The sequence below is a fragment of the Homo sapiens genome, chromosome 13 (assembly GCF_000001405.40).
Source record: "Homo sapiens chromosome 13, GRCh38.p14 Primary Assembly".
Classification (NCBI taxonomy): domain Eukaryota; kingdom Metazoa; phylum Chordata; class Mammalia; order Primates; family Hominidae; genus Homo; species Homo sapiens.
In genome coordinates, this window is record NC_000013.11 from 56,158,414 (window position 1) to 56,170,613 (window position 12,200).

General features: G+C 35.0%; 1 annotated feature.

Moving 5' to 3' along the window:
• Window positions 8,396-8,995: an enhancer, noted in NCBI's record as "OCT4-NANOG-H3K27ac hESC enhancer chr13:56740943-56741542 (GRCh37/hg19 assembly coordinates)". NCBI's record gives its function as "activates a minimal SCP1, AML or CMV promoter by ChIP-STARR-seq in naive and primed H9 embryonic stem cells {active_cell/tissue: H9 hESC(naive and primed)}" and the evidence as "EXISTENCE:reporter gene assay evidence [ECO:0000049][PMID:30033119]".

Here is a 12,200-nt window from a genome sequence, read left to right on the forward strand (position 1 = left end):
ATCATCCAGATAGAAAATCAACAAATAAATACCAAATTTAAACTGCACTTTAGAACAAATGGACCTAATGGACACATACAGAGCATTCCAACAACTGCAGAATACACATTCTTCTCAACTATACATGGAACAATAAAATATTCTGCAACATAGATTATATAACATGCCACAAAACAAATCTTAACAAATTTGAAAAGATGGAAATAATATAAAATCTCTTTCATGACCACAATGGTATAAAAATAATAATCAACAACAGGAAGAACTTCAGAAACTTTACAAATACTTCAAAATTAAACAATACACTTCTGAATAACCAATGATTTAATGAAGAAATTAAAAGAGAAATTTAAAATTATTGAGACAAATAGAAAAGACACATCACAGATCCAAACCTGCAGGATACAGCAAAAGCAGTTCTAAAAGGGAAGTTTATAGCAGTATTAGCAAAGTTATGGAATCAATGTAAGTGTCCATCAATGGATGATTGAATTTAAAAAAAATGTGGTGTATATACACAATGGAATACTATTCAGTCATAAGAAATAATAAAATCATGTCTTTTGCAGCAACATGGATAGAACAAACGACCTTTATCTTAAGTGAAACAAGTCAGTAACAAAAAGACAAATATGGGTGGATCATTTGAGGTCAGGAGTTCTAGACCAGCCTGGCCAACATGGTGAAACCTCATCTCTACTAGAAATACAAAAATTAGCCGGGTGGTAGTGGCGTGCTCCTGTAATTCCAGCTACTTGGGAGGCTGAGGCAGGAGAATCCCTTGAGCCCTGGAGGTGGAGGTTGTGGTGAGCCGAGATTGGGCCACTGCATTCTAGTCTGGATGAGTGAGACTGTCTTAAAAAAAAGAAAAAAGAAAGACAAGTGTTACATGTTCTCATTCATAAGCCAGAGTTAAATAATGTGTACACATGGATGTAGAGAGTAGAATAATGGACAAGGGAGTCTCAGAAGGCTGAAGGAGTTGTCATGATGGTGGATAATGGGGAATTACTTAATGGGTACAATGTACATTACTCAAGTGATTGATATATTAAAAGAGCCCTGACTTGACAACTGCACAACTATGCACATGTATGCCACAAATTTATACAAATTGAAAAGAAAACAAAACAGAAAGATCTCAAGTAAAAAACCTAATGTCGTATCTCAAGGAATTGGAAAAACAAAAACAAACTCAACCCCAAATTTATAGAAGGAAGAAAATAATAAACATTAGAGGTGAAATAAGTGAAATAGACTGTAAAAACATTACAAATAATAAAAAAATGAAGAATTGGTTTTTTATAAAGATAAGCAAAATTGACAAACCTTTAGCTAGATTAAGAAAAAAAGGGAGAAGACTCAAATAAAATCAGATAAGAAAAAGGAGACATTAAAAATGATAGCACAGATTTACAAATGTTCATAAAATACTGTTATGCACAATTGTATGCCAGCATATTGGATAACTTAGAATGAATGAATAAATTCCTGGATGCATACAATCTGCCAAGATTGAACCAAGAATAAACAGAAAACCTGAACAGACCAATATGAGTGAGAAAATTGAATCAGTGATAAAAGTCTCTCATCAACGAAGAGTACAGAAACTGATGGATTCATTGCAGAATTTTATAAAATGTTAAAAAAAAAAAACCTAATACCAATTTTTCTATAACTATTTAAAATAATTAAGGAGGGAGGGGGGAATCCTTCCAACCCCATTCTGCAAGGCATGCATCGCCCTGATACTAAAACTACACAAGGACACAATATAAAAAGGATAATACAGGGCAATATTCCTGATGAACATAGATGCACATATTCTTAACAAAATACTAGCAAACTGAATTCAATAGCACATTAAAAATATAATTTGCCATAATCAAGTGCAATTAATCCCAGGGATGCAAGAATGGTTCAACATATACAAAGCAATAAACATTATATATCACATTAACAGAATGAATTACAAAAGTTATAGAATCATTTCAACAATTGCAGAAAAAGTATTTGAGAAAAGTCAGCATCCCTTCATAATAAAAAGTTTCACCGAAAGTATAGAAAGAATGTACCTTAATATAATAAAGGTCATATATGACAACCCATAACTAACATCATACTGAATGAGGAAACTGAAAGGTTTTTTTTCTAAGATCCAAAACAAGATAAAGATACCTATTTTTTTAACACTTCTATTCAACATAGTACTTGATGTCCTGGCCAGAACAATTAAGCAAGAGAAAAAAATAAAATGTATCAAAATTGGAAAGGATAAACTTAAATTGTTTCTGTTTGCACATGATAGGATATTATATGTAGAAAACTTTAAGGACTTCACAAAAAATCTGTTAGATCTAATAAACAAATTTAGTAACGTTGCAGGGTACAAAATTAACATACGAAATTACTAGTGTTTTCATATGCCAAAATTGAACTATCTGTAAAAGAAATCAATAAATTAATCCCATTCCCAATAGCTACAAAAATTAAAATTTTTAGTAATAAATTTACCCAAGTAAGTAAGAATCTCAACACTCAAAACTATAAAACGTTGATAAAAGGAAGTGAGGAAGGTACAAATGAGTGGGAAGCTACCTCATGTTCATGTGTTAGAGGAATGAATATTGTTAAAATATTCATACCATACTACCCAAAGCAATTTATAAGTCAAATGCAATCGTTATGTAAATACTAATGACATTATTCACAAAAAAAAAAATCTTAAAACTTGTATGGAACCCATAAAAGGCCCAAACAGCTAAAGCAATCACAAACAAAAACAATTAAAGCTGAAGGTATCACCCTACCTGGCTCCTAAGTATACTTCAAAGCTGTAATAAGCAAAACAGCATGGTACTGGCATAAAAGCAGACAAACAGCCCAATGGAACAGAATAGAGTTACAATATAAATCCTTGCATTTAAAACTAACTGGTTTTTGACAAAGGTGCTGAAAACACATAATGAAGAAAGGGAAATATCTTCTGTAAAAGATATTAGGAAAATGGGATATACATATGCAGAAGGAAGCTAAACCGTGACTCAAGCCATATACAAAAATTAATTCTAAACCAATTCAATAAATGTTTGAATTTCATGTTGAACCTAATTCAAATGTTAGACCTGAAACTGTGGAACTACAAGAAGAAATCTTAGGGATAAAAACATCCATGACACTAGTCTTGCCAGTGATTTTTTTTTTTGAAAATGACCTGAAAAGCATAGGCAACAAAAGCAAAAATATAAATGGGATTACCACAGACTAAAAAGTTTTTGCACAGCAAAGGAAACAATAAATGGAGTAAGGAGAAAATCTACAAATTTAGAGAAATCACCTAATGCATCTTATAAGGAGTTAATATTCAAAATATACAAGAAGCTCAAACAACCCACTAACAAGGAAACAATTAGCCATATTACAAAATAGGCAAAAGACCCATATAGGCATTCTCAAAGAAGACATACAAATGACCAACAGGTATTTGAAGAAAATGCTTAACATCACTAATAATCATAAAAATACAAATCAAAACCATAATGAGACATCACTTCACACCTGTTAGAATGGCCATTATAAAAAAAACAGAAGAGAACAAGCATTGGTGAGGATGTGAAGAAAAGAGAACCCTTATATACTCTTGATGGGAATGCAAGTAACTTAGTGTAGCTGTAATTTAAAACATTGTGGAATTTCTTCAAAATATTAAAAGTTCAACTACCATATGATCTAAAAATTTTGCTACTGAGTATGTATCCAAAGGAAATGAAATAAGTATGTTGAGGAGCTATCTGCACTCTCATGTCTATTGCAGAACTATTCACAATAGCTAAGATATGGCATCAACAGAAGTGTCTATGAACAAGGAATGGAAATAAATGTGGTATATATACATAATGGAATACTACTTAAACATAATTAGAATGTAATCCTGTCATTTGTGACAATGTGGATCAACATGGAAAATATATTTTAAGTAAAATAATTTAGGTGCAGAAAGAAAAATACCACAAGACCTCTCTTACATGTGGAATCTTAAAACACTGATCTCATAGAAGGGTGGAGTAAAATGGTGGCTACCAGAGGCTGAGGAGGTTGGGTGGGGAGTGAGAGAGGTGGAGATGTTTGATTTTCTCCAAGCATATATAATTACAGTTATGTAGGAGGAAAACAAGTTTAGAATAGGCAAATATATAGAGACAGAAATAAATAAGTGGCTTCCTGGGGCTGGATTAGTTGCTATGTATTTCAGTCCTTTACTTTGGGTATACTTTTAAAATGTATTGTGTATGATTTGTATTGAAAATCTTGAATGTGACATTGATTTCATTCAAGGATTATGGTTCATCCAACTTCAAAGTTGTTATCATGGGTATCTAAAATTTCTAAAATACTTTGCCAAGTTCGAAGAACCAACTGTATAATCCCAGATCAGGCACTGCTCCTGTGTATTGTTCAACAACAGAATTGGATAGTATGGAATACTGGTAAAATAACTAAGTCCTAGCACAAACATATTGAAGTACAATTCAGATTTATAACACATTTAGTCATTAAAAGCAATATTTACTTTTAAGAATTCTTTCCTAATTTGATCTTTAAAATTGTTTAGGCTTAATAAAGTTTCTGCCACTTAAATTACTTACTGATTACTTTCATAGCAAGTATAAGGGGTGGGGTACACAGGATAGGTGAGGAATAGGGGAGAAACCGGGAATGACTGCCAATGTTAGGGAGTTTCTTGGGAGGTGAAAATGTACTAAAATTGAGTGTGGTGATGGTTGCATAACTCTGCAAACATACTAAAAATCATTAGATTGTACACTTTAAATGGGTGAATTGTATGATGATATGTTAATTATATCTTAACAAAGCAGTTTAAAAAATGAAACAGAAGAAATTAGAATTTTTGTAAGCATTTACTATTAACTTTACTATTAAATCAATAAAGAAATCAGTAAATACACCAAATATTTATGTTTACCTTCTGAAGGATTATATACATATGTCAACATCTCTCTATATAAAATTATTTGGTTAAGACACAGTTTATAGCCTTTTAACTTTATTACAGTACACATAAGCATGTGCATTAGGCTTACAGAATAATCTGTAAATTGTCCTGTTTTCTGTAACTTAAAAATTTAAACTGATATGTAAAAATATCAAATGAGTTTCTTCCATTTGACTAGTTTAGAGTAAATGTAACACATTTTTATGTATGCTGTATTCAAGGCATGCCTTTATTCTAATTTTAGCTGCCAAATAGAAAAATAGATGTAGAATACAGTTGTACAAGAAAAATGACAGATATTCAAAGTATCATTTTTTCAGCATATAACATAATTTGCAAGGTATTCCATATTATTGAATAGCTGAGTGTATTTAATATTATTATTTATGTGTTTCATATGATGTAACTAAGAGCTTGTGCTTATGAAAGCAATCCTGTTTTCCTTATTAAGGATGTTATAAGCACCACATGTTTAAATGCAGTAAACAGTACAGCTAAATTCAAAGGCTTACGAGCAGTGAAAAATAAGCCAGCTGTTCATATACCCCTGGGGCTGGATTAGTTGCTATGTATTTCAGTCCTTTACTTTGGGTATACTTTTAAAATGTATTGTGTATGATTTGTATTGAAAATCTTGAATGTGACATTGATTTCATTCAAGGATTATGGTTCATCCAACTTCAAAGTTGTTATCACGGATATCTAAAATTTCTAAAATTCTTTGCCAAGTTCGAAGAACCAACTGTATAATCCCAGATCAGGCACTGCTCCTGTGTATTGTTCAACAACAGAATTGGATAGTATGGAATACTGGTAAAATAACTAAGTCCTAGCACAAACATATTGAAGTACAATTCAGATTTATAACACATTTAGTCATTAAAAGCAATATTTACTTTTAAGAATTCTTTCCTAATTTGATCTTTAAAATTGTTTAGGCTTAATAAAGTTTCTGCCACTTAAATTACTTACTAATTACTTTCATAGCAAGTATGTATTAATTAACATGATGCTACATTTTTACTTGAGTTTCCAAATATGATCTACATTTGAAAGTGGTTTGAAAAAAATAAGATTTGATACATTTCTTAATGCAATTTTATTTCTTTAAGGCAAAGGGAAGCTTCTTATTCTCAATAAAATCCAAATATAATTATATTTTCAATATTTTGCCTAAAGTTTTGAGAATAAACATTCCCAACTCTTCCCAATGATAACAGGAGAAATGATGCTAGGTTAATGGCAGATGCACAATATGGTTGATGCAGACATAGAAGCAAGGAAGGAAGAGGCTACTAAAATCTGTTATACTGAGATGTGTAATGGAAATACAAGGGTAGCAAAGGAAGGAGTGAGGGCAGATGATTGCCATATAAGATATCTTTCAGATTTTAGATGCTGTTTCTTTATTTTTCTTTCATTTTTGTTATATTTTTATTGGTGTTATAGGCTAAATGGTATCCCCAAAATTGATTTGGTGATGTTCTCATTTGGAGATAGGCAAAGATACTTTGTCTGTTTTGTTTTTTTTTTGTTTTTGAGACGGAGTCTTGCTCTGTCACCCAGGCTGGAGTGCAATGGCATGATCTCGGCTCACTGCAATCCCCACCTTCCAGGTTCAAGCAATTCTCTTGTCTCAGCCTCCTGAATAGCTGGGAATACAGGCACACACCACGATGCCCAGCTAATTTTTGTATTTTTAGTAGAGACGGGGTTTCACCCTGTTGATCAGGCTGGTCTCGAACTCCTGACCTCAGGTGATCCTCCCAGCTTGGCCTCCCAAATTGCTGGGATTACAGGTGTGAGCCACTGTGTCTGGCCAGGCAAAGGTACTTTTAAGAAGGCAGTTAATGTTAAATGATGTCTTAAGGGTGGAGTCCTGTATGACTGGTATCTTTATAAGAAGAGATACCAAGGATGTTCATTCACAGAGCAAAGGCCATTTGAGGACAAAGTGAGAAAGTGCCCATCTATAAGCCAAGGATAGTGATCTCAGAAGAAATAAATCTTGCTGGTATCTTGATCTGGGACTTTCAACCTCCAGTAGTTAAAGAAAATAAATTACTGGTCTATGGTGCTTTGTTATGGCAGTTCCAGCATACTAACATAATTAATATATAACATACACATATAGAAAAGTGCATAAATTATAAGCATTGTTTGATGGTTTTCATATAGAACATAACCCATTAATTTAGTTTACGCACTACAATATATGTTTGCTGCCAATTTTAGGAGTTCCATTAGACAGATGTATTATTCCATTCTTGCATTGCTATAAAGAAACACCTGAGACTAGATTGTTTATGAAGAAAAAAGGTTTAAGTGGCTCACAGACCCACAGGCTTTACAGGAAGTATGATTCCGGCATTTGCTTGGTTTCTGAGAAGGCCTCAGGAAACTTATAATTATGGCAGAAGGCAAAGGGGAAGCAGGCTCCTCTTACATGGCCAAAGCAGGAGAAAGAGATGGAGTGGGGAGGTGCTACACACTTTTAAACAACCGGATCTCATGATAACTGTCACAAGAATAGCACTAGAGGGATGGCGCTAAACCATAAGAAACCACCATGATCCAATCACCTCCCACCAGGCCCCACTTCCAGCATTGGGGATTACATTTCAACATGAGATTTGGGTTGGGACTCAGATCCAAACCATATTATTCAGCCCCTGTTCTCTCCCAAATCTCCTTTCTCACATTTTGAAATACAATCGTGCCTTCTTAATAGTCCCCCAAAATCTTACCTCATTATAACATTAACTCTCAAGTCCATAGTCAAAAGTCTCATCTGAGACAAGGATAGTCCCTTCTGCCTATGAGCCTGTAAAATTTAAAAAAAATAAAAATAAATAAATAAATAAAAAAGTTAGTTACTTCCAAGATACAAGGGGATACAGGCACTGGGTAAGTAAGAACCTTCCGAAAGAGAGAAATTGGTCAAAAGAAAGAGGCTAGAGCACTCATGCAAGCCTGAAATCCAGTAAGGTAGTCATTTAATGTTAAAAGTCAAAGTCATCTCTTTTGACATCATGCCCCAAACCCACGTCATATCGATGCAATGAGTAGGCTTCCAAATCTCTGGGCAGCTCACTCTTTATGGCTCTGCAGCGCTCAGCCTTCATGGCTTCTCTCAAGGGATGACATTGAGTTCCTGTGGCTTTTCCAGACACATGGGTGCAAACTGTCAGAAGATCCATCATTCTGGGGTCTGGAGGACAGTGGCCCTCTTCTCACAGCTCCACTAGTCCATGGCCCAGTGGGGACTCTGTGTGGGGGCTCCAACTCCACATTTTCCCTCCATGCTGCCTTTTAGAGGTTCTCCACGAGGGCTCTGCCCCTTCAGCCGGCTTCTGCCTGGACACCCAAGCTTTTGCATATGTCCTCTAAAATCTAAGTGCAGGCACCCAAGCCTCAACTCTTGCACTCTGTGCACCCACAGGATTAACACCACATGGATGCCACCAAGGCTTATGGCTTATACTCGCTAAAGCAGTGGCCTGAGTTGTACCTGGGCCCCTTTTAACCTCAGCTGGACCTGGAGCGGCTGGGCTGCAGGGAGCAGTGTCTTTAGGCTGCACAGAGTGGTGGGGCCCAGGGCCTGGCCCACAAAACACCATTCTTCTCTCCTAGGCTTCTGGGCCTATTGATTAAAGGGGCTGCTGCAAAGGTCTCTGAAATGCCTTTAAGGTCTTTTTCCTATTGTCTTGGTTATCAGCACTTGCCTTTCTTTTAGTTATGCAAATGTCTGCAGCCTGCTTGAGTTCCTCCCTTGAAAATGGGTTTTTCTTTTCTACTACATTGCCAGGTTGCACATTTTCCAAAGCTTTATGCTTTGGTTCCCTTTTAAATATAAATTCCAGTTTCAGTTCATTTCTATGTTCATACATATGAGCATAGGTTGTTAGAAGCAGTCCTTGAACATTTTGCATCTTAGAAATTTTTTCCTCTGGATACCTTAAATTATCATTCTCAAGTCAAAAGTTCTACACATTCCCTAGAGCAGGGCCACTGCAGCCAGTCTCTTTGCTAATAAATAACAAAAGTGACCTTTGCTCCAGTTCCCACTAAGTTCCTTATTTCCATCTGAGACCTTCTCAGCCTGCACTTCATTGTCCATATTACTATCAGCATTTTGGTCAAGCAATTTAACAAATCTCTAGGAAGATCAAAGTTTGCCCTCATTTTCCTGTTCTCTGAGCTCTCCAAACTCCTCCAGCCTCTGCTTGTTACCTTGTTCCAAAGTCACTTCCATATTTTCATGTATCTTTATAGCAATGCCCTACCCCTCAGTACCAATTTTCTGTATTAGAATGCACATTGCTATAAAGAAATAACTGAGACTAGATAATTTAAAAAAAAAAGTGGGTTTCTTTGGGAGGCTGAGGCAGGTGGATCACGAGGTCAAGAGATCAAGACAATCCTGGTCAACATGGTGAAACCCCATCTCTACTAAAAATACAAAAATTAGCTGGGCGTGGTGGTGTGCACCTGTAATCTCAGCTACTTGGGAGGCTGAGGCAGGAGAATTGCTTGAACCCAGGAAGCAGTGGTTGCAGTGAGCTGAGATCGCACCATTGCACTCCAGTCTGGGCGATAGAGTGAGACTCCGATTCAAAAAAAAAAAAAAAAAAAAAAAAAGGTAAAGTGGTTTTAATTGGATCACAGTTCTGCAGGCTGTATAGGAAGCATGATACTCGCATCTGCTTGGCTTCTGGGGAGGCTTCAGGAAACTTACAATCATGGCAGAATGCGAAGGGAAAGCAGGCTCATTTTACACTGCCAGAGAAGTTTTCATGACCCCATGATTCAATCACCTCCCACCAGGCCCCACCTCCAGCATTGGGAAGTACATTTCATCATGAGATTTGGGTGGAGATACAGATCCAAATCATACCAGCATTCTTCCATTTACATCACACCGAAGGCAACCATTTGCTTGCATTGTTCTTAAATTAACTCTTTCTCTCTCTGTGTGTCTCACAGAGAGAGAGAGATGCAATAGCTGCATTTTTGTCACTAGCTTATTTAGCTCAACATTAGCTTCTGAAATTAATTTGTTTTGTTGCACATATTTGCAGTCCACTCATTACCATTACTTTGCATCACCCTTTGGATGAATATAACACAGTTCAATTATTTATTCTCCTGCTTATAAGCATTCAGGTAGTTTTTAGTTTGGGGCAATTATAAATGTTACTTCTATGAACATTCTTAAATATTTCTTAACTGAACATATGCACACATTTCTATTGGGTATATAACTAGAAATAAAATTACTGGGTTCATGTATTCAGTGTTAGGAGATGCTGCCAAAAAAGTCTTCCACATTGGATATGCCAATTTGCATTCCCTCTTTCTCTCTGTAGGAAAGCTCCCAGGTTGCACCACTTGTCTGCACTTGGCATTGCCAGAACTTTCAATTTCAGTGGTTCTGATGTATGTGTAATGGTATCCGAACGTGATTTCAATTTCTGCTTTTTTATACCTGCTAAAGTTGTGAATCTTATGTTTATTGACCTATTTACTTTAACCAGATTGAAAATATTTCATCCAATAAAAGGATATGGATCTTAATTTGAGTGGAATAATAGCATTACTGCCTCATGTATAACTATAATCAAAGCTGAAAGTGACAGAGGAGGGAGAAATTTAGTTGTATTCTGCTATGAGACTTTTACTGTATTGTTTATCTCACTTTAGGTCTACTTCTGCTCCCATTGAGTTACAGGTGTTACAGTAGAGATTAAATTTGTATAAATTGAAAAAGTATATACATATGCATATAAACAGTTTTTAAATACAGGAATGAACCAAGCATAAGTTTCTTCTCTTCCATATCACCTATTTTTTATATATCTATCCTCACATATTTGCTTTAGAACCTTAATTGTGCTATCCATATAAGTTAATTTTTAAGTCTACAAGGTTATCATGCTACTAACGTGCATAACTATTGTTGTAGCAGTATTTACATCAATTTTTGAGAATTAGATGGGAGGAAAGAGCCATGTCTCTTAATTTCAAAATTTGAGATATTATTTAGTAAACAACAAAACTAAGTCTCCTATCCAGAAATCTGATTTATTTCATAACATCAAGCTTTCCTATTTTACACACATTGTTTTATTTAGATCTTCATTGTCTCTTAAATTAATGATTGGCATCATTTCCTATTAGATAGATCTACCCTAAGACACTTTTCATCATTATTTCCATCACATTTTCTACCTGGGATATTTTTTGCAAATAGCAAATGTGAGTAAATTGTATCATATTATCCCTTGTTTCTCTGCTGTCCAGAAGAATTTCTGCTTGGCTCTGTACTTGCTCTGTATCCTCATCTTGAGGAATCTATACTCTTCTTTTCATTGCCAATCATTCTTTCTCATTGTTGACCTCTCTTTTTTCATCATTAATGAATTTTTAATGCTTCAATTTTCCTTGATTTGGTTCTGTGGCACCTAGTTTTCTCCTTTGATTTTCTTCTAACTTGGATATTTACAACTCTCATTCTGTTACCTTCATACATGGACATTTACTAAGGTTATACTTTATGCTCCTTTCTTTTCTGTATTCACATACTCTCTCTCAATCTTCTCAGCTGTTCTTAGAGTGTAAATATTACCTCAATGTGAATAATATAAAATTTGTCCTCTATTTCAACTTCTGAAATTAAAAGACTCATATCTTGGGTTCATATGAAATAAAACCTCTGTCTGATACAGAGATAACGGAAACAGTGTGTCCCAGTATGGACATATGTAGTCATGGCATACTAATTACACTCACATATTGTTCAGTTCCACTTGTAATTGGTTATAAGGGCACAAACTTTAAAGCTGAATATTCTTGTGCCATACCACTTGCATGAACCTAAGTAAGTTAGGTTCCACGATTACAACTCATTTTTCCTATTTGTGAAAAATAGGAATTTTTCATAAAAAATACAAATATAAATTGTCTTTTTTTTCTTATCAACTTTAAAAATGCAAAAAATGTGCCTCAAGCCTGCCTCACAGTCTTGTGGAAAGATGGAAATATATGGCTTTCACATCCCAAGATCCTGTGGAATGTATTGTTTAGAAAGTGCAAAGACTAAGTGTTGGATTATTAAGTAGATTGTAGAATGAGAGCAAAACTTATCCTATATGCAGCCTGTGGCTGTGACTTGAGATGTAGCACT